General features: G+C 42.2%; 1 protein-coding gene across 4 annotated transcripts in view; it reads left to right on the top strand.

Moving 5' to 3' along the window:
* Positions 1-27,329, top strand: part of ADAMTS12 (ADAM metallopeptidase with thrombospondin type 1 motif 12) — a 368,456-nt gene that overhangs the window by 149,226 nt on the left and 191,901 nt on the right. The gene's annotated exons all lie outside the window — the stretch shown is intronic.

Here is a 27,329-nt window from a genome sequence, read left to right as displayed (position 1 = left end):
GAATGAATGAGTAAATGAGTGAATTATAGCTTCATTAGTGATTATCCTGTTGAACTTGGATCTTATTTCCACCAGTAGACACATCTTTGTATTTTAAGTATCAAGCCTAGTGTCCGATGCATAGTAATCATTTAATAAATGTCTGTTAATTAATTGCATGAGTAAATGAGGTATGTTTACAGTGTGGTGCTGCAGGTATGAGTAGATATCAGTCTTACCTGGGGCAAGGGTCTCAGCATTCCAAGAGCACTGGGAGCCACTGAGGCAAGGCAAATGTGTTCTTAGACAGCAATTAATGATAACTATGAATTTGTCCCACAGCTCAATTGATGCCAATGTTTGGGAAGACAAACACTCCCACCCCCGTGGTGTCCCATTTCTGTGCAGCAGCTGGAAGTCTCACACATCACCACATTTTTTTTTTTTTTTTTTTTACGGGGAAGGAAGTTTACTTGTTAGATTTGACATCAGATGTTTGAGGAAATTATCAATGTACTTTATGCTCTAATCTTCCTCTTCAAAGGCAGATTAATGAATCCCCTAGGGCACTTTTTGGGCCAGTAAGCCAAAAATGAGAAAGTTAAGACCTTTAATTACATTGCTTTGTGTGTCATTGATTGACCTCCTTTTCCTCAAGAAATTTTAATTTGTCAGATACTAAGGGACACAGCTCTGAACCTGTCAAATTAGACCCTGCCCTCAGAGACTTACAGTCTAGTGGAAAAAGAACTTAAACAAAAAATCACAAAATCGTATGCATGAACATTGTGACAAATGCTGTAAGAGTATATAGCAGAGGAAATTGATATAATTAGGAGGTTTAGAAATGTTCCCCCCAAATAAGCCACAAAAGTGGGTTTGGTGTAATCCCAGCACTTCGGGAGGCTGAGGCAGGTGGATCACAAGGTCAAGAGATTGAGACCATCCTGGCCAACATGGTGAAACCCCATCTCTACTAAAAATACAAAAATTAGCTGGGTGTGGTGGCACATGCCTGTAATTCCAGCTACTCGGGAGGCTGAGGCAGGAGAATCGCTTGAACCCGGGAGGCGGAGGTTGCAGTGAGCTGAGATCGCACCACTGCACTCCAGCCTGGCGACAGAGTGAGACTCCATCTCCAAAAAAAAGTGGGTTTGGATTCTTAGAGAGCCATTTTCCAAGATCGCTTCTACTGGTATTCAGCACTTGAGAAGTGGTGTCCATTATGAGCTAAATGGTGTCCTCCCCAAAATCCGTATGTTGAAGCCCTGACCCCCAGGACCTCAGAATGTGACAGTATTTGGAGACAGGGTCTTAAAGACCTAATTAAATTAAAATAAGGTCATTATAGTGGGCTTTGACTTTGCCCTCATAAGAAGAAGAAATCTGGACGCAAGCATGTCCAGAGGAAAGTCCCCCATGAGGACACAGAGAGAAAGCCCCATCTGCAAGCCAAGGAGAGAGGCCTCAGGAGAAACCCAACCTTCAGATACCTTATCTAGGCCTTCCAACCTTCAGAACTGTGGGAAAATCTGTTTATGTGGTTTGGGCCGCCAGTCTGTGGCACTTTGTCATGGCAGCCCTAGCAGATGAACACAGCATCCACTGGCCATCCTGCTGGCACAGGGCTCCTTTCCTTCTGCCAACCCAGGAGCACTTAGTTACGCTGTGTGTGCAGCAGGAAACTGCACACACACACCTCAGTGAGGTTTTTTCAGGGCTGGCTGCATGGGACTGTGACTAGAGGGGCCACACAAGGCCTTACACTAGAAAGAGTTCCATGCTTGGGGTGTAGTGCTTTGAGGTAGCGTCTTGAAATTTTTAGTGTTTTTAATATTTGAATGTCCGCTTTATAAGTGAAGTCTGAGGAGACAGTGGAGCACGAGCTGGGGCCTGGGACGTGGCCTCACTCACGGTCCACCTCTCGCCAACATCCTGCCTTCTGGAGTTGGGTTCTCTGTCACTTTCTCCCTGGCCCCTTGGTTCCCTGGCCCCACCTGGCCTCTCCCTTTCTGCTCCAATCCCGCTACCACTGTGACCGCCTGTCTTGGGCAGTGACCAGGTCACATGAAAGCAGGGAGGCCTGTTCTTCATTATCCCTCTATGCCCCTGGTAGGAGCCTGGGTGCAAACATGGGGAGGGTCAGGATTGGGTGCGTGCCCGCAGTGTCTTGGAGTGGGACATAGCAATCATCCCCCCCATCCCAAGATGGCATTTGGCAAGTGACTCAGGGGACCTCTCACCCCCGCATCCCCGTCATCCAGGTACCACACACATCCCTGTGCAGAGTTTTCAATCCCTTGGGAACCACCCATCTGTGGTGGGTTGGAGTGGTGGGCCCCTCAGCAAAGGGGAAGACTAACCTCCCTGCCCCAGGCCGGAGCCCTACATTTTTATTTTGCACTGTATTCTACAAATTATGTAGCTGGCCCCGGGATTAGAGTTGCTTTACTTGCAAAAAATTGAGGTGAATCTGATACACATTAATGATATACCTGAGACTGCTGTATTATTTGCTATAGATGAAAAGCAATGATTATTTATTATTCTTTTTAGTCTTGCTTATATACAGTCAAATGAGTTTTATATTTTTCTCTGTTCTTCACGTTAGAGTTGAAAGAGAAATGGACTGGAAACTGGGAGAATTATGTTCTGGTACCACCTCTGTCATTCCCTGACTTGGGCAAGTTACATAAATCCCACCCTTACTTTTCCTCATCAGTTACATGAAGGGGTTGGAATTCTCTTAACTTTCGTGAGTTATGAGTCTTTCTGTTTCGATTCAGCAGTATCTAGAAACAAAGCAATCTTGACATTCTTTATTCACACCAATGTGGTTTAAAGCCCATCAAGTGGGCTTGTACACACTGGCATCTCACATCTAAAAGTGAAGATCTTGACCCATCTTTCTGGTAACCCTGACATCTGGCTCTCAGGTGCTTTCTCCTCCCAGGCCTTCTGCCTTCTTTACACCCTTGCCCCATCCCTAACAGCCACAAACTTCGGAGCACAGGCCCACTGCTCCTGGTACTCTGCCTCTCACCCAGAAGGGACAGTCAGGACCTAAAGAGGCGGCAGAACTTCAGGGTCATGACTGAGTGGATGTGTCTAGCTCATCATCACGGGTCAGAACATTGAAAGGAGGAAGTGGCAGTCCTAGAAACCGAGTCTGGACACAAGATCCCTAATATCTGTCGGGGAGAGAGGTGAGAGTATGACGGATTTGAGTGCCTACTTATTCAGGGCATGGCTCCTTATCCTGGCATCAGATGTGTGAGACCACACACGTATGCACACATGCATGCACATGCACATACACATACACATAGTTTCTTCTGAAATGTGGTATTTGGTTAAAAAGACTCCACATGCATTTGAGTAGTGTCAAATACATCAGGGCTGTTATTCTAAGTTCAGGACCTAGCATTTCAGCTAAACTCAGCCCAGTGGGGGCTGTGCGTAGTGTGTGTGTGTGTGTATGGAGAATGTGTGTGTGTTTGCCTATATGTGTGTGTGTTTATGTGTGTGTGAAGGAGTGTGTGTTGATGCGTGGGGTGTACATGTGTGTTTAAACATTCGTCACGTCACACACTGTCAGCTCCAGGATGTAAAGATGGCTTGCTCAGCTGTGATGACTCAGGGATTTATGGAAGTTCTACCTGTTCTCTTTAAATGCAGCATGTTGAAAGCCTGAGGTATTCTCTCAGTCAACAGAGAGGTTAAACTCTTTGTTTAACCTAACTAGCAAGGGAGTCCAAACACCTCCGAACGAAAGGCTTTCCCTTGCTGGATAAGTTGTGCTAAGAATAGAGTCAATGTCAACCCCACCAGCAGCTGACCAGCACCCTGGCTGCATTTCTTAGGGAATTACTACTGCTAAATTGACACCAGAAAGGGCAGAGGGCTCATTTTCTGTAAAGCATCTTCTCCCCACGCCATCCTCTCAAAGACATTGCACGGGAAACCAGCCTTCGTGCCAGCTCCTCCAGAACACTGGCCTTGGCTCTTCAGCTCCTTCCTAATAGGATCAGCTGTGCTGAGGGCTTGAGGACTGGCTCCGTCCTTCCTCAGCCAGGACAGTGCTGCGATGTGGAAACTGACCAACATAGCGAGTTTCCCATGGCACTGATGTTGATGTGCAGAAGACAGGCATTGCAAATGCAGGTCTGTTAGGAAGATCAATTTTGATACAGTATCTGCAAGTAGGGAACATTCCTAACCAAAGGATAGGGCAGGTGACCCATGACATGAGAGGTGAAAGCCGAAAGCCATTTCTCATTAGCTCTTCATGGGGCTTCAGAACTCTTTTGGTCTCATTTCCCCTGGAATATGCAGGAGGCATCAAAGACACTTAATTTGCATACCTTCATTTCTTGAGAACAGTTCCAGCCTAAAGCGGCTATTAGCATTGGAAAAGCTCACCTGATTGGCAAGATTCTGTACTTTATGCCTGAGTAACCAAACAAACAAAAAAAAAATCAAAGGGCAGTCCCAACGGCCACAGAGCAGTAGTTTTTCCACTCTCGCTCCTGGTTTGGAGAAGGGTATTTATCAGGGGCTGGTTAGAGGTCAGGGTTATGGCCTTCTAAGATGGGGAGGCCATTACCAAAGACCCCAGGTAGCCCCATCCCACACACTTTCCACTAGTGCCTATATTGGGATGAATCTTCTGGCAATCTTCCTTAAAACTTCAAGAGACCTCTTTAAGATTCTGTAGTTGGGTGAGCCTGTCTGTGCCCAGGGTAGCCTGAAGTTAAGGTGAGGGCTTAACAGTGGTACCAGGCAGTTTGGATCCCAACTAGCTAGCTGTCCTTGGGCAAATGACTACTTTCCTACTACTGTTACTTCTTGTTTCTATTTTCTCCTCTGTAAACTGTGGGTAATGAAAATGTTGCGCAAAGGTAGGGTGGGTGAGTGACAGCTACAGGCTCACTGTTCCTGAAAACTGCAATTCGAAATTCCACAGCCCCCTGAAAATAAAAAGTCTTTCAGTGAATGTTCAGCAAACTCCCTTGGTGGCAAAACTGACTTGAATTAACATGAGGCTATTTATGATATTTTGTAAATCTCAGTTAGTGAGACTAGTTGTACATTTTACTGTAGAAATATCCATGTGTTTGATTTCAGAGTACTACCCTGAAAATACCCAGGTATTTGGAAGCATAGAATATATGAATTAAATGACTTTTTTAAAAAATTGTGGTAAAATACATATAACACAACATTTACTATCTTGACCACTTTTAAGGGTACAGTTCAATAGTGTTTGTATATTCACATTGTTGTGCAACCAATCTCCAGAATTCTTTTTACTTATTAAACTGAAACTCTGTACCTATCAGACAACTCCCCGTTTTCCCCTTTCCCCAGCCCCTGGCAACCACCATTTGACTTTCCAAATTTCTTTTAGAATTGCAAAAATTCCAAATTCCAAAACACATCTGGCCTCACAAGCATTTCAGATAAGGGATTGGGAAACTTAATTAGGGAAGGGGAATGCCTAACATTTGATAGAGTCACCACCTTTCGAGATGATCCTGGAAGAGGGAGTTCTTCCAATCTTACAGGGGCCTGTCAACCACAGCACACTGCTTCCCAACATCGATGCCCTTTTGTAAAAGATGGCACAGTAACAAGAACAAGGGCCATTAGATTCTGACCAGAGCAAACAGAACGCAGGTACTTGCATGGGATGTTTGATACCTTCCCCTTCTTTTCTGTCATTCCCTTGATCTCAGTTTTTCTCAGTAAGTAGAAGTGCACATGTTGGCAGCTGGTTCTGGCATCTACTTTTTATTTCCATTCCAGGGACCATGATGGAGGATGCTTTTACAGTGAAAAGGCATGAAAACCTTTATGCAGACTGAACTCATGGGGAAGATGCTGACAGTCTGTTTAGAACTTGCTGGAAGCCATTGAAGGCCAGATTTATCCATTTTGCAGAACTCTCTAGGAATCTTCAGAAAAGCAGTAGGGCTTACCCTGCTGTTCCCCAGCAGATCACAGTATGGAGACCGGTTCTGAGTCATGCTCCCTATAACTGGAATAACACAGGGAATTCTTCACATGTTTCATAATGTGTGTGAGTGAAAGGACAACCCAGACTTGTTATTGAAAAACCCGACAGTGGTCAGGCATCATTATTGGAATGTCTTCTCCACACTGCCCATTCTGTAAACATCCTGGGGAAATGTCGAGGTTACTTTCTGTGTGAGGCTTGTGCTTTCTTTTCCTGTTTGTAAATACCAGGGATGAAAGTGGATGCCTTCAGAATTGGAAGCCCATGAACACAAAAATTCTGCAGAATACAAAACCCTCTGATGGACCACTCCTGATAAATATAAAATAACCTTAGTACCAGAACTTCTACTTTTGGGTTATGGAAAATATGCCAAGAATTTTATGTTTTAAAAACAAACTACAGGCTGGGCGTGGTGGCTCACGCCTGTAATCTCAGCATTTTGGGAGGCCAAGCCAGGTGGATCAACTGAGGTCAGGAGTTCGAGACCAGCCTGGCCAATATGGTGAAACCCCATCACTACTAAAAATACAAAAATTAGCCAGGCATGGTGGTATACGCATGTGTTCCCAGCTACTTGGGAGGCTGAGGCAGGAGAATTGCTTGAACCCGGGAGGCAGAGTTTGCAGTGAGCCGAGATCGCACCGTTGCACCACAGCCTGGGTGACAAGAGTGAGACTCTGTGTCAAAAAAAAAGAAAAAAAAAAAACAGCAAAAAAAGAATACAGTTGTTCGGATGCCTTTATTATCATCATTACCATTTTAAAAGCTCTAAGAATCCTTTATTCTCAAAGAAAACAACACTAAATGTTGTTTAGTGTTTAACACTTTTAATGTTATCTGGCCCTGGAAAAATCAAACAAATGATCAGTTTCCAACATCATCAATCAACATGGAACATTTCAGATTCATAGTGACCAGGATGTTCCTGGGCACCAGAGGTTTGGAGCCAGCAATAGAAGAGGTTTCCTTTCCTTAGTGGCAGTTCTACCACTGTCCTGAGCATTTCATGGTCCGTGCTGGACATTCATTGACCTTTCCAGCAGCTTGAAGCTAAGGTGTACTTCCCCGATTAGGCCATTAGGTAGCTGGGACCTCAGGAAAAGCAAGAAAACAGTTGTGGGGTCAGGGGGCAGTTGGGATCAAGACCAGAAATTGGTCTAGTGTCTAGATGAGGGGCCAGGCAACTACAGTCCATAAGCCAAATTCAGCGTGCCATCTGTTTTGTACAGCCTGATAGCTAGGAATGGATTTTACATTTTTAAGTGGTTACATTTTAGATGGGTATATAAGTACTCATATAATATCCTCGATTTTACCTTTCATCCTGCAAATTATACAAGATAGCAAAAACATTTACTATCTGGCCCTTTAATAGTGATAAAAACTTGCTGATCCCTGGTCTAGACCATTGGTTCTCAAAGTTTAGTCCCCGGACCAGCAGCATCAGCATCACCCTGGAACTTATAAGAAATGCAAATCTACAGGACCCACCCTAGCTTTATTGAATCGAAAACCCTAGGGTGGGGCACAGTATCTGCATTTTAACTTTGGAGAGCTATTTCTTTATTCCTTCAGAAAAGAAGACCCGGGGCAAATTACTTAACCTCTTTGTGCTGGATTTTCTTCATCAGTAAGGGTTGGGAGAATTTAACAGCTGAAACATGTAAAACTTATTAAGGTAAATGCCCAATGTATATTAGTTATTGTTATCTCAAATGTACTATTATTTAAAAAAGCATTTTATTAGGCTTAGGTTAAAAATCAAAAGACTTTACCAGACATCTGAAATTCTAGCAAGAATCATTAAGGTACATGCAAGGTATCTTGCAGTAAGGTATGTCCGGGTGGGAATCAGAAGTGCTGGTCTAGAAATTTGAGAGCCAAAGAGTTACAGACCCTGTCAGGGTGGCCCACAAGCTCCTCCTTCAGCCAGGCTCTGGAACATTTCCCAAGCCCTGAGCAGACACCCCAGTTGATGTTTCTTCCAGTGGAACACTCAGCCTCCTCCCCCACCCACCGTTTTGGCTATAGCCCCTTCCTCTCAGGCCTTTGGTGTTGTCATCCTTTGCTGCAGCTTCTCACTTCCTTGCTAACCTGGAGCATAAGTACTCATACTTTATTCGTGAATCATTTGGGGCAATCAGGATAGTAAAATTCATTCTCAGGGGACTGGGTCTTTGTTAGGAATTTTAGAAGCTATATTATGTTTAGCACAGTAAATTAAATGTGGAAAACATGTTAGCTGTCTTCCTTGTTATAATTTTTTTAATTCACAATTGTGACTTAAAAACCTGGGGTAACTACAACTCCAGCTGGTTAACATCAAGAGAAGCTGCAAATTATTTTGGACAGCAATGATTTCTGCTAATGTTACTGCTCTTCTTCAGGTACTTCACGTTTTTTTCTTCTGGTGCTATTATTCTTGAAGTCAGGCTTTGCAGAGCTGTGTCCTCACCTCTGACCTAGGCAGCTTTTGTTCCAAAGAACCAGAAGTGACAGGGTATGACCACTTCTCCTGAGAGGCAGAGTGGGGTTTGGTCTCTAGCTGCGAACAGGAGAAGCAAGGAACACGTTCCTGCTTTTAGAATGGAGGAAAGGAAGGATATTGTTGTCTCTTCTCTCTTTACCCACTGATGGCTTGGCCACTGCTTGGGGGCTGCCTCCCTCCTTGTCTGCTCAGCGCTTTTTCAGAGACATCCTGAGGCTAAGAGCTTACTCTGTGTGTGTGTGTGTGTGTGTGTGTGTGTGTGTGTGTGTGTGTGTGTAGTGGGGAAGTGTAGGCTTTGACATCAGATGGGTCTGGGTGTGAATTCTTGCACTGAACAGCTCTGAGACCTTGGGTGTTTCTGAAGTTCTCTGAGCCTTATGATCTACATCTGTAAAATGCACATGGTACTTGCTTGGCTGTGTCTGTGTGAATTGGAGATGATGCATGCATGTTAAGTACTGATCTCTGTTATCAGAGCTGGCAGCCCCCGTGTCTCGCTGATGAGTCTCCATGGCCACATGGAATGATGGTTTACAAAATGACACTTATGATCCTTTCAGGAAACTCTGGGTCACAAGGATGCTTTAGCCAAATGCAAAGCCACCTGGATTTGCACAAAGCACGGCCATGTTTGTTTGGAGTATAAGGACCCAAGGGTGCTGCAGCCACTTTTACTGGCCAAGACCAATCCATTCAAAGCTGGTTTCCAGCTCCCTTCAGACTAGCTAGTTATCAGTATTTGAAGACCACGTATTCCAGGCAAGCTACTAGAAACTTAACAATGTCTCTTACTTAAGATTCGTGGCTGTCTTATGATTAGAGGCTGTTATTATCCCCATTTCACAGATGAGAAAACTGAGGCATAGATCAACTGACTTGCTCAGGCTCACGCTGTTAAAAGTAACAAAGGTTTGTGTCACTACAGATTCTGTGTTCTGGACCAGCATGCTCTAGGACTTTTTTCCTACAACTGGTTTTCTTGAAGAAAGTTTCATTTAACAGTTTTAATCTGGATTTAAATTTCTTTAAAAAAATAGTAACTGTATTATTCTGTAACTTGGTTATTATAATAACCAAATATAATAACCATATATTTTTTTTACTGGGAAAATAATATAATGAGGAAAATAAAAGTCACTCATAATCACACAACCAAAAATAGCCACTATTTGTGAATATGTTATTTATGTAACATTTTATATGATATGAAATAATATAATTTAGTGTTATATTGGATAAAAATATAATATAATATATAATAAAACCCACAATTGGGATGTGTAAATTCATTCTGCACAGTTTATATTGTGAACATTTTCCCAAGTTATAAAAGGCTATTTTAAAACATTTTTAAGGATCACTTAAAGCTTTACTGTGGAATGAAATCAAAATTTATTTACACATTCCCCTGGTGTTGGACTTTTAGATTTTTTTCACAAATTTTCTTATTATAAAACTCTGTGTGATTATTATTCTTGTACCACCAATTTTGCCCACATTTTAAAATATTATCTTAAGAGTCCTATAAATGAATTACTGAAAATATTTCTAAGAATTCCTCCAAAACGTAACACTAATTTATATTTCCAAAGCAACATATAAAAAGTATCCATTTGTTCTACTTTTGCCAGCATTGGACAAAGTATTTTTTAAATCTTCTCTAATTTGTTGTGCAAAATATGCTATATCAGGAGTGCCCTAATTATTTCTGTGAATATGAATATCCACAGTTGTCAGATTTTGAACCACTGATAATTCTTCTTTAAGAATCATCTCTCCATGTTCTTTGATCATTTTTAATAGGATTATTAGCAATTTCTTAATTTTTCATAAAGGCACTTAAGAGATTAAGTATGTAACATCTTTGTCATATTTGTGGGAAAATGCTTTTTCTGTTTTCATCTTTAATTTTTTTATCTCTTCTTATGTAAGATTTTCATTTAGACGTTTTCTTTCTGATTTCCTCCATTCTTTTTATGCTTACAAAGTCCTTTTCCATTCTAGTGTCAGATAAATATTCACCTACATTTATTTTTTTTAGCACTTCTATGTGGTTTACAATTGGATTTTGAATGAGAAGGGAGATGGTGAATATGTGGTACATGTATTGCCTCTTCTGGCTCCTGGTGCTGGGCAGACATCACTAGTCTATGCTGGCACCCTATTCTGCTCAGCCTGCGCAGTCCTGGTGCTGGGTAGACATCACTAATCTATGCTGTCACCCTATTCTGCTTGGCCTGGATGCAGCCCTAGAATATTTCTCAAGGCAGCTCCAGGTCTAGCTACCACCAGCTGGTCAGAGGTGGAACATGAGATTATACCTTTTTGCCATCTCTCCAAAAGAACAAATTTCTCTGATATTGACAATAAAGATGACCAGTTTTAAAATCCTAAGTACCCTATAAATCTTATATCTATATGGAATAATTTATAGTCTTGTCCATAATAACACATGCAGTCTAATAAGATGCAATGTTAACATTTCTTAGGCAGGGTCATGAGCCATCAGCAGACCTCTGGCATCTCTCTAGTGGACAGCCTCTGCCTCAGCCAGAGCATCGTGTTCCTGAGTGCTGCCTTTTCACACTGGCCTTAATTCTAGATCCTATCAGCATAGTCCCAAAAAGGATTTTTAGCAATCCTTAATTGTTTGCTCCTTTCTGCCTTTCCTGATGTCCTAGGATTTGACCATCTTGGTAGACACAACTGGCCCTTCCTGTGGAGCTGGAGTGCATGTCCCAGCCTCTGCTGGCTGCCTTGCCTCATTATCATGCATACCTTTTCAAGGCATCTGATAAAGACCATTCCTGAACACATCTGAATGAAGCTTAGGATTGCCATGATGAGGCAGCAGGAGAGCCTCCTGTGCTGTGTACATGGCTGTCGTCTTCAACACTCACTTTAATGTAGAGAAAAGAAAGATAAGGTTGGGTGCAGTGGCTTACACCTGTAATCCCAGCTACTCGGAAGGCTGAGACATGAGAATCTCTGGAACCCGGGAGGCTGAGGTTGCAGTGAGCCGAGATCACACCACTAGACTCCAGCCTGGTGGAGACAGTGAGACCCTGTCTCAAAAAAAAAAAAAGAAAAGAAAGATAAGCAGAGAAGAAACTAAGAAACTGGAATTTATTAATTCATAATAGCAGTGATTAGAAATAAATTATTTATTATATGCATGACATTGAGCTAAATCCTCTACAAACATCCCTTATTTAATTCTCCCAATAACACACTGCAACTGCTTTTACTATCCCTATTTACGGATGGGAAAAGTAAGGCAAGTCAGAGATCTCCCAAATAGTTAAGTGTGACTGGGATTTGTATCCGGGTCTGTCTGACTCCTGAGCTAGTACCCGTTATTCTCAACCCTTCTGCTATCTCTGCCAAGGTACAGATTTCTTCATTGCTGAAGAACTTCAGGACAATAATTGGGTTATTCTAAATGAGCAAAGTTAAAGGACCATGCAAAGGGTTGCCTGTCTTTTGTGGTCCAGTTGAGAATTTGTGAAAACATCAATGGAGTTAATATTATACCAGTGTGAAAAACAGTAGATAAAGTCGAGGGTTCCAATGAAGCAATCCTAACTAAGTGAAGGATGAATCTTTCTGTCTTTTGACACTAGCTTGCTGTAGGTCAATGGAAGCAACCTGCCTTTGGAAGACCACTGGTTTTAGTATATTTTGCTGTTATTTAAGACAAAAAACAATAAAATTATAGACCTTTATTCATCACTTTAAGATAATGAATCAACATTCTATAGGAAAAAATAAAAATAGGCATTTAAACTATATTTTAACCACGTAAAGGAACACATACAAGAGGAGAAGACACAGGGAAGGAAACAAAAAGGACAGCTTTTGTGGCCCCTCCTGCCTCCAGTCTTCCCCCCACCCATCCTCTTCCAAAAAAGGATCAATCTTACCACACACATACACACAGAAACACACACACAGACACACACACACACACACACACACACACACACCCTAATGGACTCTGATCTCATAATAGCACCAGCACCTTATACAATAGTGATACTTATACAATGCCACACATATGCTGTTTTTGCAACTATTGGCATAAACTGTGTCTAATCCCATATCACACAGAAAGATTCAGATTTCATATTTGATCTGTAACCTGTACAATGTGGGTCTCCTTTCTACCCGTGGGTGGGTAGTGAAGGACTTCGTCAAGAGCCTCAGGGTGGAAGAAAGAAGCCTTCTAATGTATAACTTTTGCCTTGGAGCTCCAGAATGGAACTTTTGGAGCTCCAGAATGGAACTTTTGCCCATAGACAGACTCTTAATCATTACTATATTTGGAAAATGTTGGGTGGTTTAGTAAGTAATATTTGGAAAGCCACATGCTGTGTATCAGTGATTCATAATCCACACACAAATTGATTTCCAACCCTCTTGCTCTAAAGCCTGAAATTGGGTGTTATCAATCTCAGCCACTGCCAGTGTCTCTTCCTTTATTTAGAGAGAAACTTTGGGACACTCTGCCACTTGCCAACCAGTAGGATCTGCCTGACCTGCCAGTCTCCAGCATCCCAGAGGCATCGGGTGATGCCTCTGACTTTTCAGAACCCTTCAGAGTACCATCCCACCGGGGCTCACATCTACCCTCTGAAGTCAGCAGTCTGGAAATTATTTTCTTACTAAACTCTTTCTAAGTATGTAAATTATGTGTTGTTAAAGCAAATTAAAATGGAGGCCACAAAAACTCCCTGAGCAGACAAAGCCAGTTAGGTCTTGAAAATAACCTTAACTTTGCTTACATTGGAAATGGGAAGGAGACTTAATTTGGGCTATTTCTTGTGAATGCTTGTATTAGAGTGAAACAATTTAAGCTCAACCAATAAGATGCAGCCAACTAACTTGTAATCATGCAACTAGGGACTTTCCAGTGAGGTAGATCAAATATGGCAACTTTATACCTGTAACCAATCAAATATTTTCTTTGCATGACTTCCACATTCACTCTATAAAAGCTTATCCTTTATGTTTCTCCAATGGAACCCCTGAAGCACTTCTGGCTTGGGGCTGCTTGATTCATGAATTGCTATTCACTCAAATAAACTCTAAAATGTTATTGTGTCCCAGTTTACCTTTTTAATAGTTTGTATAATATAACATTTGGAAGGTTCATACATGTATAAAGAATATAAAATATCAGTATGCTGTCATCATCATACCAAGCTAATATTGTTAATATTTCATATTTGATGCTCATCGGTTTTCCTACACATATGTGCAAACATGTATACATATCATGTACATATACACATATATGTATGTGCATTTATATACACATATATGCATATGATATATCATGTACATATACACATATGCATGTGCATTTATATAAGCATATATGCATATGATACATGCTACTTTGTAATGAAATATACTTTATAAATGAGATTAGTACAACTGAGAGGTGAAATGATGAGTTCAACCATACCTGACATTACTGGTTAGTCGTTTGATTCTAGAAATCTTTTCTCTCCATGACTGTTCTGATGGCCTTCCCCTTTCCTACACACAGTCAGAGCTCTCTACAGGGGTAGCTGGCCTTCTTCAGGCTGGGGTGCTAAGGTGTTTTGTGGAAGAGGCTGGTGGTCGCCTGAGCCTGAGGCCAGAAGGAACACTGTCTTTCCCTCCCTGAGGAGAGGTGAGGCTTAAAGGGCAAATGGCCTTGGCAGAGAGGCCCAGGGCCAGGCTGATCCCAGTGACAGCCCATGACTAGAGGCCACACTGAGAGGATGGTGAGGGCCACCAGGAACAGGGCTTTGCGAGTCTGAAGGAGGCAAGTGGCAGAGTTAAGAGGCTGATTCGGACAGGAGGGGAGTCACACCTGCCACCAAGGTCTCATCCCACAGCCAACAGTGTCCTGGAAGGAAGCCAACTCCTCCAGGTTTTGCTCAGAGCATCCCTTTCGTGTCCAATGCTCTGACACTGTTCTTCCCCTCCCCCTTTCCACTTCTCTCGTAGGCTGTGGATTTTCAGCTGAAATGTCTCATTTCAGTGAACATCCCGAGTGGGATAATGTCCTTCTGCCTCAGAGAATCCAGCAGCACAGAAAAAGACTGGGCCTCCTTCTAGGGGAAGAGGATGGTCTCAGGGCTGCTCTGGAAGGAAGATGAGGATGTCCAACAGTCATTTAACTGTTGCCTGTGCATTTCAGGGACACTCCAGGGTATGAGCCAATTTTTGTTTAATATATTTGTTCCTTTCCTTAGAAAATAAGAGGGGTTGCAATCTTCATGCTTTTGCTCAATCTGCAGGTATCTATTGAGGGCTTGCATTAAAGATGCTGAGCGTAGAGTGTGAATGTGACAGGTGCCATGCTCTCAGTAAGCCTACTGCCTCATGGGAACATTGGTAAAGAAACAGATAAATAATTACAAATAAGTAAACATAAACACAGGCAAACCGATAAATACCAGGAACGGAATTAGTGGGATGAAGCACCAGAGGGCAAAGGAGACGATAGGATGGTCTGTAGGACTTTTAGGCTGAAAATGGACAAATCAACCAGCGCTAATCGTTCAAAATCTAAGAAAGAGTGTGTTCCAGGGAACAGGATGCATACAAGCCTCAAGCATAAACAGCTTGGCTTCTTTGAGGAATTAAACGAAGGCCAGTGTGACAATAAAGAGAATAAGCTTGGAAAGAGAGCCAAAAGCACCTTTGAATTAAACTGAGTTAATATTCATGTGTTTACAACAGTTGAAGCCCTTGGAAAGTCTGGAAAACAGAAAATGCCCATGAAAGGGATACCTCAGGACAGTCTGTAAAGCTAATGCTTCATTTGCTTTGGGTTTGCTCTAACTTCAAAGCAGAGTTGCTCACAGAAAACAGCTATGTTAACTTCCTCCTATCGGAGAGGCAGCTGCAAAGCGATGAAATGCCTCCATGGAGGAGAAGAAACAAGGAGGCGAGAGCCCAATGGACCCTCTCTTGAATAACTGAGAATTCACTCAGAAATGCGAGGACACACACGCGTCGTCACCCAGGCCAGATCTCGGTGGTGAGGCTTGACCTCGACCCAGACACACAGGTCCAGCGGCAGCCACAGTTCATTGTGCTTGGGCCAACCCTGCCTTGCTTTTGCGCTTGGTGATCCTGTCTCTGCAGTGTCCAGCAGCATAGGGCAGGTGGCAACTGCCTTGCGCCTCCAGGAGAGGTGAGAGGAGAGAGAGAGGAAGCTTTGTGAGAGCCTGCTGGAGGCGGTGAGCTGACTCGACTAGAGATTTGATTCACCCAGGAGTTTCCTCTGGAGCTGGAAGGAGGCAAACTGCAGCTGGCTTAGATCCAAGCCCAGGAGATGCCTCATCTGCCCAGGCGGATTCCTGGATCTGGCCGTCCAAAAGGATGCATTCACATGGCTTCAGAGTGAGGGCACTTTATAAACTGCGGGGCACCACACACATGTAAGGATGATTCTGATAGTACTGTTACATCAAGCTGAATTTGGCCCAAGAAAGCCTCTGCACTTGCATATTTGAATTCTTAAGTCTGAACTGCAATCTAATATGTTAACTCAAAAGTTAACTTAGGAGTAAGCTTCAGTAACAATAGCTGAATCTCGGCCTATTACAGTGGCCACACTTCAACCAATCACAGATGGCCAACTGTTCAAACCGTGCTCCAATAAGGCAAATGCCAGCTGTAACCAATCCAGCAGTTTCTGTACTTGCTTTCCTTTTCTGTCCATAAATGTCCTCTGACCATGAGACAGGTCCAGAGTCTCTCTGAATCTGTTCTGGGTGAGGGCTGACCCATTTGCAAATCTTTTTTTCTCCCCCTCAGTTAAACTCTTCTAAGTTTAATTTGTCTAAAGCTTTTTCTTTGTTAACAATAATAAAGACAATTTGGTGGGTTTTGGTGGTGAGTTGACTGGCCAGAGACTTTAGCGTCAGCCACGGAGCTTTTTTAGGAGCTCACACCTGCAGCCCTCTGCCCCAGGCCTCCTCAACTGTACCTACAATGTGAGTGACATCAGTGTACTCACCGAGGCAAGGAAGTGGCATGATTAGTCCCCTGGACACTTTCCCTTCCAACCAGATTGCTGCATTTAAGGCTCTTGCTTGTAGACCCATCTGGTGATCCTGGACACCCAGATCTTTGTTGGCCATTGCTTAAGCCACATAGTGGAATGTGACCCAGAACAGGACATGGGAGGCTTGGATTCTTGGCCTGGCCCTGGCACTAATGAGCTGTGTGGTCTGGAGCAAATGACTCAGCCTCTCTGGGCCTCTGTTTTGTTTCCTTGGTTTTACAGTAGAAGAGTTAGGGATGTATGTTCTAAGATAACTCTGATTCTCGCACGAGAGTGTGCATCAGAATCCCCCGGGGAATTTGTTAAGTTGCAGATTTTTGAGTGTTGTCCCCACTTGAGTCCTGGTTTAATCAGCCTTGAGTGGAACCCAAGAATTTGTATTTATAACATATTCCCAGAGGATTCTGGTGCTGCTGGTCCTGGGAACCTACTTTGATAAATCTTCTCACGAAGTCCTCAAGCTGAGGTGTGGCTATGATTGCAAACTTCACAACGTGAGGGCTTCCTCGCCGATGTGTCTGGCAAGGCCATTCCCAGCTGCGGCTGTGTGCCTGTTTCCTTGCAGGCTTTGAGTTGTGCCCAAGTCCCGGTTCTGTTGTTTGACCATTGTGATCTACTTTGGGTGCTTTCTCATGGTTTCTCTCAGCCCCTCTTTCCTCCCTTCCTTAGTTTGGCAAGCTTATCACACAGAGCTTTAAAGACTTCAGAGAGTTTCTATGCTCTGGGATGGCAACAGAATTTAGTATCATAAGTGGGGAAAGTTCTGGGTAATGCAGAATCTCACTTTTTTGGGGCTGAATGAGATGATCAGGCAGGGGAGGAACAGCTGGCTCTTGCACCAATGCATTCCCTTCATATTTGACCTTAAACTATCAGAGAAAGAGAGACTGTGTCTAGGGAGCCAGGCAACCCAGAAGATGAACTGGAAGGAAATCGGGATTGGAATTCAAGTAGAATGCTGAAGGTAGTGGGGCTTTAGAGATCACCCAGCTCAGTGGTTTTGAAAGAAATCAATGTTTCTACAGAATCATATCGGGAGCTGTTTCAGGAATGCCGATTGTCAATTCCAAAGACTACTGGAAACACCTGTTCATCAAGCAGAGCTAAGCTGATGAGCCATGCTGCAGTCAGGGAGAACTTGGCAACAAGCGAGCCTTAGTAGTATCATGAAATGGGGAAGGCAGGGGGAAGGTATAGGGTTTCCGGGCCTGAGCTGGGCCATTTCAAGACAGGTCTTATAAGGGATAAGGGAGGAAATGGCTGAGATTGGAAAGAGTTTTTGGAAATAGCTTTGGATTGGTTGGCTCAACGAGGTGAGAGTCTTGAAATAAGTGGATTTTGATAAGAAGCTGTTGGCCGGGTGCGGTGGCTCACGCCTGTAATCCCAGCACTTTGGGAGGCCGAGGCGGGTGGATCACAAGGTCAGGAGATCGATACCTTCTTGGCTAACACGGTGAAACCCCGTCTCTACTAAAAATACAAAAAATTAGCCGGGCACGGTGGCGGGCGCCTGTAATCCCAGCTACTCAAGAGGCTGAGACAGGAGAATGGCGTGAACCCGGGAGGCGGAGCTTGCAGTGAGCCGAGATAGCGCCGCTGCAGTCCAACCTGGGCGAAAGAGCGAGACTCCATCTCAAATTAAAAAAAAAAAAAAAAAAAGAAGCTGTTAGCCTTGATGACCAAGCTGTTTACAAAGTCCTCAGTCTTGTTCTTCAGTAACAGTGTGTTCAGAACACATGGTTAATGTATTCTCACTTGGTCTCAGAATCGTTTAAGATATGGACAGAAAAGTATGTCTGTTTCCAGTATTATTTAGCATAATTAAATAAAGGGAGTTATGTTAGTTTTCATTTTCAGGGATGAAAGTGGTGGGGGTGGGGGATGACTGTGTGGGGTCCCTGCCCCTCCCTGACCTCCCAATCAACCAGAGTTTCTCCACACTTTTCTGTTTTCTATGTTGGGCCTCCACATCAGATTTCACTTAAAGTAAGGGCTTTATGTTTTAAAAAGGGCTCAAAATCCAGAACTGTTTAAAAATCTCTATTTCTAATAGAAGAGAGAATACTGAAATCCAGAGGGTGTTGAGATGTGCCTATGATCACACTGTTGGTCAACAGCATAGGAGAGAACCAGAGAGTTTGGTACAGGCTCACTCTGGATCCAGCTTGTGCTTGTTCTGGGATATTCAGGACAACGATGCTAGGCAGAGCCACAATCACCATGAAAATCTCAGGAGCTTTGCCCAGTAAAGATGTCTTTCTTCATTGCATTGCATCTGAAGGGGCCAGGCAGCTTCCTACATCTTCCATCCTTACCACCTGAAACATGTGTTCTCCAAAGTACTATGGCAATAGAGTGGAAGGGAAGAGGGCACCAGCTGTGAACTGCTTCAGCTTGAAAAACACATGGCACATCCATGCACAGGTCATTGGCCCCAATCTGACAACAGGGGTGCTGAGAAATGGAGGGGAGTACATGAAACATTTGGGGAGTACCAAGTACCTCTGCTTGCCCAGGGCTGGGGTTGCACACACCACTCCATGTTGTGCTGCTTTTATTGTTCAGTTTCTGGAGGAGGAAATGAGAGCAGAGAAGATAAGTGACTTAGCCAATCCCACCCAGGTTGTAACTGATGTGGCCAATGCTTGTACCCCAGCTCTTTTGATTTAAGATTAGTGCTTGTGTTTCTCCCCTACCCTGTTAAAGAAAGAACAATGTGGAGAACCATGAGGCCAAGCTCAGTTATTATGGGATGGAAGAGATCTATGCACATTTGGAGATAGAGGGGCAAGAACAGTAGGACAAGAAGAAATAGAGGTGTTTGGGGTCAAAAGGATGACTGAGGTCTTAGAGAGATACACAGGATTAAAATGTTAGCAAAAAGATGGGATTATTTCTCTTCCTCTTACACAAAAGGGAGAATAAGAGAGTAGTTTATATGCAGCAAATATAAGGAAAAATGGAGTTCGCTTCTCAAAACCTTTACACAAGACCTGAGATTAGAATAACACATGACAGTAAAATGGGGAGGGGAGGTATTAGCCCAGGCTGAGGGCATAGGAGGAGAGCAAGGCATTTAGAGCAAGGCATACCTGTCATCCAGGTATGAATGACAGGAGAGGCTGAGCTTTCAAAGCCATCCATCAGGGCCACAGCACTGTCCTGCCTTGACCCCTGATCCTGAACTGCCACTGTCATCTTCCCCATCCTCATACCCACTCTCTCTGCTTTTCTTGGGCTTCCAGGGTCTGTTCTCCTTCCTTCCTTGCTTCTGCAGCTGTATATCAGGCACTTCCTCTCTGCTCATAGCCCTCTCCTGCCTCACTATAGGCCAGTTTGCTGCTCCAATTTAGTTAGACTACAGTGGTCACTGCCTGGACCACCTTCCTGACTTTGGGTCATGACATAACCATCACCTTGCTAGTGAGCCCTCAATTACGTGCCTTTGACTCACCGGCTGTGAGAATTACTCTTGGTCCATTCCCCTCTGTTCCCTTGGTTTGTTGGTAGAGTAGATGTTCCCTGTGTAGTCTTTTTACCCTTCCAGCTAAAGATCGTCTTCGTTTCTGCATAGCCAAACTGTGCGTAAAGGAAACAAGCTCATTTTGTTATTTGGTCTAAGAAAATATTAGGAAGATCATTCTTAGGACAGTCATCAGGGCTGCTTAGATTCACATTTCAGCCTCACCTCTAACCAACTCTGAGATTTTAGACAGATCACCTAATGTCTCTATGCCTAACATTCAGCTGTAAAATCGGCATATAATAATGTCTACCTTATAGGGTGATTCTGAGCGTTAAAATCAATAACGTAAAAACACTTAGAACAATACTAACACTAATATAACTGTTTACCATCATCATTATTGATATTAAATACACAAATAACACAATACAGGGTCAGTAGTAGTAAAGGTTTTACTACTTGTCCATTGGAAAGATCTATATCACTGTGTTGCTTTATTCTGATAACAAACAATTACCGGTGGACTATATTACTCTTTTGGTTGTAATAGCATTTCTTTAGGTCCAAATATAAAAATGTATGATCTGAGTTGGATGGAAATGTGGTTGCAGTGTTAGTCACATTGCAGTTTGATATTCTTACCAAGAGAAACACTGTGGCCAGAGGAGTGCTTTTATGTCAAGTTATAAAGGAAAGTTGACTGAAGCCAGAATAAGGAAGAAGCCTTGTCAAATTGCCATCAGAATGAAAGGAAACGTCCTCACATACCGATCCTGCTGCTTATTTATATAAAGAACTCTCAGGCTCAGATCACTGTGAACAAAGACCATGGCATTTGGTTTTAGCCCTTCAGAGGCTCTGAGGACTATTGAAAGAAGGCCAGTCCAATCCATGTGAGATGGCAGGCTGAGCTGCCGGGTGTCACTCTCAGCAAAAACTTATCCTTGAAAACAAATAAAGGAAGAAGCAGGTGGTGAAGGGAGAGGCTGTGGAATAGACCCAGGAAAGCTGAGATAAATCCAACTCCAACTCAGGATGCAGGATTAAAATATTTACTCTGGCATTGGCAGGAAAGGCTCGGGGCAAGCGTTTGCTTTGCCAGCTCAGCAATATCTTCTGGCCATTTTGTATGCACTAGCAGGCTTGCGGCCCTTAAAATATCAACTTTTATAATTTTGCAGGTGGCAATCCAGAGTGAGGAAAAAGGACCCTCCCATACTGAGAGACCATGGAGACCTTTTCTCCAGCCATGTTGGAGCTATAGAGAGGGGAAAAGGCAACGGTCCCTCTCATGATTGGTTCTGCCTCCTGATCCAAGCACCTATTCCAATTGTTTGACTGGATTCGGAGGGGGTTTTCTCATGTGTACTTCTCATTATTCAACTGAAAAAGTTATTATGTCGTAAGTGCACAGTTTGTAAACTTTCACAAACAGAACACGTCCATGTAACTAACACCCACGCCAAGAAGCAGAACATGACAAGCTCCCAGAAGACTCTCCGGGGCCTCTTTATTCTAGTCATCCCTCTCCCCAGAGCTAACCATTACCTTGACTTCTAGCAGAATAGATTAGTTTGGCCTTTTTGGTGTTTCATATGGGTGAAATAATACACTCTCTCTCGTGTCTGGCTTTTTTCTGTCACATTACATTGGCGAGTGCATCCATACTATTAGATGTGGTTGCATATCATTCTTTGCTGTACAGAATTCCATTGTGTGACTATTTCACAATTTATTTCTTCATTCTACTGTTGTTGGGCAGTGGATATTTTTCATTTGGGCTATAAAACTAGTGTTGCTATCAATGTTCTAGTACATGTCTTTTGGTAAAAATGTGTACATGCTTTTGAGAATACACACACATCACACATACACATACACATGTACACACACATCCCTAAGAGTGGAATTGCAGGGTCATATAGTATGCATATGTTAAGCTTTAGTTGAAACTGTCAGTTTTGCAAAATGGTTGTACCAATTTACCCGCTCACCAGCAGTGTATAAGGGTTTCAGTTGGTCTCCATTCAATTTTGTCTCCCTTGATTCTAGGACCAGGATGACAAACTGCACATGGAATAAGCACACATAATGGAATATGTAATCCCACTTAAATAGGTGACAACATTATTTTCAAAGTAGAACCAATACTGTTGCTGCTCACCTCAGCTTCTCTCCATCTGGCAAGATTTATCTCATCTTTCTTTCTTGAGCCAGCAAATCTTTATTGATGTAAACACAGGTGAAATTCTTGGTTCTGGTCTTTCTATTTAGCATTTATTGTTGATGGTTACCATCAAATAATTGAATTTCCATGACCTATTTATGGTTGAACTTGAAATGAACTTGGAATGCTTATTCTTGAATCCAGAATAAAATACTTAATGGAGTTGGAAAATGAAACCACTTTTTGAAATTGGCAATCGTGTGTGTGTGTGTGTGTGTGTGTGTGTGAGTGAGAGAGAGAGAGAGGGGTGAATGGAAACTATTAACATTTTATTCAAAAAACTTAATACATTGATGCCAAAAAATCCCTTTCATTCTGATCAATAAATTTCTCTTAACCCCATTGTCCAGTGGAATGAGAATTGGTCACAATTTTGAGTTTCTGGATAGCTTCAATCATGGATGTCTGGATGTTTTTATAAGGAGCATTTTGTGTGTGTGTGGAATGTTTGGCAAATGTCTGTAATAAAGATATTGGGTTTGAGATTGTGGATACAGATGTATAAGGTCACCATACAAATCAGCCAACAAATAACATTTAGGTATTTAAAGCAGATACACATGAGTGCTTTGAATCCCTCCCCTAGCAACCCCCACCAAGTATTTCTCTTTGGTTTCCATTTTTCAGTAATTTTCAAAACAATTTTTTCTTTGTATTAGGCTATGGGCAGAAAGGCCTTTAAAAAGTATACAGCATCCATCTGTTATAGTAACTTCGCTTTTAAGAGAACTAATAAGGTTGCTGTTTTCCATGCTTCCTTAAAGCTCATAAATAGACTTAAGTTCCAGCAAGTAAAAATGACAAAAGTCAGTGGCTAGGAGTTGAGTTGTCCTATGGATAAAACATTAGGCTTACAGGGTTTAAATGCCACTTGGCAGGATGAACCCCCTTAAGATTCTTAGGTGCTGATGGTGCTGTGAAATCACTCAATAGACACTCATTGGACAGCTGAGCCACTCGATCATCTTGTTGCTCTCTGGTCAGAAGATCTGATTAATCATGTGTACAATTCATTTCTTAACTAAATTTCTAGAAATGGAATTGCTAGGTCAAAGGGTAATTAAGTGTAAACTTTTACAGACATTGCCAAATTGAGGTCCAAAAACAGTTGTATCACTTTTCACCCAACCCAGAGTGTATGAGGGTGCCTGCTCTTCTTATTCCTTCTTCTAAAACCTCTTGGGAGAAACAAAGTCCTCTTGGTTTCCCTCCAGAGCGCTCCCTTCATGACTGCACTCTGTATTTTCTTAGCATCTATCTTTTTCTTCTCTGTGGCATATATTTTGCATACTTTGCAGCAAATATCTGTATCTATTCCTCTTCCATTGGCACAACCCATCTACCTTCCTACCTAAGAATTAAATCCCAAGTGGATCATTAAGCTCTGAGAACTTCTATTTCCTCAGTGACAAAATGAGCACAATCACACCCATCTCACAGGGCTGTGAGGAAGATTAAGCACCGCAAGGCATGTAAAATCCTCAGCATGTTGCCTGGCATGTAATAGACACAGAGGCACAGAAACCTGAACAGAGACTTTCTTACTTTTGCCACTCCTGATGCTTCCTGGCGTTTAACACAACATAGTGTAGAATAAGCGTTTTGCTGACTGACTTGATCTCCGGTGTTCAAGCCAATCATAAACCAAGTACCTAGGCAAGTGCATGCAATATTTTCAGGTGCCCGTCGTTAGAAAGTGCACTGCTGTACTGCACTAAATGGCTCTTTCCTTATCATTTTATGACACATAAAGGATCCTGAATCAAGTATGGTGACCAGTTTGCGGCCCCCAGAAAGTGGCCTCATTTACCAGAAAAGCAGTCATCACATGTGGGCATTCTTCTAGTTCTAGCATTAAGTACCATCTATTCTTTACAGCAGCAGTTCCCAACCTTTTTGGCATCAAGGACTGATTTCATGGAAGACATTTTTTCCACGGACTGGGAGGGGGTGGGATAGTTTTGGGATGAAACTGTTCCACCTTAGATCATCAGGCATTAGATTCTCATAAGGAGCACACAACCTAGATCCCTCAGATATACAGTGCAGAATAGGGTTCACATTCCTATGAGAATCTAATGCTGCTGCTGATCTGATAGGAGGCAGAGCTCAGATGGTAATGCTTGCTCATCTGCCACTTCACCTCCTGCTATGCGGCCTGGTTCTTAACAGACCATGGACCATTCTGGTCCATGGCCTGGAGGTTGGGGCCCCTGCTTTACAGCAATTTTATAAAATCTTTCTCAGAATCCATGTTATCTGGACAAAGGACATTTGCTTAATATGTTCTCATACAAAATCTAATATAATCATACATATGGAGATAGATGATCTTTAGTGCCCTATTTATCACAATCTGTGATTCTGTGGCGCATGTTAGACTGTATTATACTTTTAAATATTATTTGCCAATATTATTAGAGCTGAAGCTCAGATAGCACAGTATTCAGCCCAGGAAAATTCAACCTGCTACGTGAGAAGCGCAATTTAAAATGTTAGGATTGTGTAAAACTTTTGCCTCACAAATGGGAACACACAGAATACACAGAAGTTTGTTGTGGAGATAAGTATGGGAAACTAGGCAGTAGTGTGGGTCACAGCTATGACAAAATGACTTTCACTTCCAATGTCATTTTCTTTTCTTACTATTGCAAATTCTTCACATTGACTTGTTTTATTTCAATCCAGTGTAGACAAAAATAAGTAGAAAAATATATTCATCAGTTATTGTTCATCATTTATGGGCTTGGGCTTATCATAGTTTTAATTTCATAATAACTTCCTGAATACTCAATTGTGTAAGTTGAGGAAGGCATGTAGAAATAATAAAGATATCAAGATTAGAGTCACTAAGTTATTCACAGTGATCAAGGCCTTTTACTTGGTGCAGGGTGCTTGGTGGGGAAGGAGAGTATTTGAAAGAGACATATGGTGCCATGGTGAAGAGCCAAATCGGCTGTTTCAGTCCCTGCTCTGCCACTTACTATCTGTATGGTATCCAGAAACTAACTTCCCTCGTCTGTAAAATGAGGGTAATAGTAGTACTTACCTTACAGGGTTATTATGTGGATTAAATGAATTAATATATGCAAAGCACTTCTGATAGGATCTGGCACTGGGCCATCATTACATGTTTATTGCTTCTGGAATACTTTTCACTTAACTATTCCATTGAAAAAGAGGCTGGAAAGTCAACTCTGGGTTCCCCTTAGAAGACTAGATGAAATTTGGGTGCAGAGAGGGGTGGTTTACTTGCGAGGACTGAGCTTTTCAGTGAGGAAAGATAAGTCATGCAAATCCGTCACGATGCTAGGACATGGGACAGCCTTCCCTGTTGTGCCCCACACCTCTCTCCTGTGACAAGGATGAAAAGAGCTTAAAAAAAAAAAAAACCTACAATTTCTTTCTCAATCTCTACTTACACCAGTTTTCCAGCTTCCAAACTGATAGAGTCATAACTCTATAGGGTAGGATCAAAATTGTTACTGTATGCATGTTCCCAGTTTTTCCCTTTTGCAAACCAATAAAATAAGGATTCTGCTTTGGAAAGTACAATGCCCCTCCTGCTGTCCTCTGAGTAGGATTTAGTCCTATTAGACAAGTTCTCTTGTACTTTATTTTATACTGTAGAATTAGAAGAAAAGTGAAAGTGGAGAAGAATCTGAAGCCTTTGGGCCTGGGCTGGGGAAAGAGGCTTTTCAGGGGATTTTGGAAGAATCTTGTGAGTTTAAGAAAATGATCTTTATCATGATGATCCATCATTGCTAGAAAACTACTCAAGTTTTTTCAAAATGTATTTTGTTCGTGGCTGAACTGTGTTCCTTTGGTCATATTGAAATTTAATTTTCAATAAATAAAAAACACAATTCTGATAAAAATCATATTGAATATGTGTCAGGTTTTAATTAACTCAATAATGAGAGAAACAGCAGGATGACAAGGCTGATTCATAGGAGGACAGGAGAAACTAATGTGTATATAATAAGCGAGGGAAACACCAAAATAAGCACTGCAATAAAAAAGAAACTGCAATAAGATTGCTGAGCTAGATAGATACACAATTGGTTGATTTTCTACAAGACAATAAAACCATAAGTTTTAGGGTTATTTTGTGTCTTTAGTCCATTTGGGTTGCCATAAGAAAACAGTCTTAGACTGGTTAATTTATAAATAACAGAAATTTATTTCTAACAGTTCAGGAAACCAAGAAGTCCAAGATAATGGTGAAGGTAGATTCAATGTCTGGTGAGGGCAGACTTAAAAGATGGTACCATTTAAAAGATGGTACCATTTCTCTGTGTCTCCACATGGTAGAAGGCACAAACAAGCTCTCTCAGGCCTCTTTTATAAGGGCACTAATCCCATTTACGAGGGCCCCACATTCCTGACCTAGTCACCTTTCAACACCTCTGCACTGGGGATTCAGTTTCAACAAATGAGTTTTGTGAGGACACAAAAATTCAGATCATAGCATCTTATCTACTGGACAAAAATTATTTGTAGTATATAATGTTTCTAAAAGTTAACATCTATCTTTACAGAGCTGTAAAATGCCTGGGCCCTTATTAACAGTAAATTGTGAGTCAAACAAAGTTATAGTCCCCAGCCTAGAGAGAGTTAGAAGAAACTTGGGTGGGGTTGGCTAGACAACTCCCTGGCCTGACAACAAAGGTTACACAGTCATCTTTTTGCCCTACTCCCATGTTTTGGTTAATTTTTAAAAATAGTTCCTTGTGTGATTATAAAGTCTCCTAGGATTCTTCTTTATCACAAAAAAGGCTGGTTTCATTGTGTTTTGCGTTCTTTGTGGGATTCATTTACAGAGGAGAAGCATACAGAACACATACTACCCTCCTGTTGTAGAGTGCAGTAAATCTACAGCCACGAGAAGCTGAGCAACTACAAAAGCCGAAGAATTAGCTCGGTCTGAAGAGTTTGTAAAGAATCTAGGATTGCATCTCAATAACCTTTATCATTCCAGAGATTCCCCTAGCCAAAGTTTTTATTTTTACTTCTTTGTTTTAATCACTCATATATGCTTATTTTTTCTAATGCTAGAGAAACAAAATTAAGAAA

The sequence above is a fragment of the Homo sapiens genome, chromosome 5 (genome assembly GCF_000001405.40).
Source record: "Homo sapiens chromosome 5, GRCh38.p14 Primary Assembly".
Lineage (NCBI taxonomy): Eukaryota > Metazoa > Chordata > Mammalia > Primates > Hominidae > Homo > Homo sapiens.
Note: the sequence above shows the minus strand (reverse complement) of the source record. Positions and strands in the feature narration are given on the sequence as shown.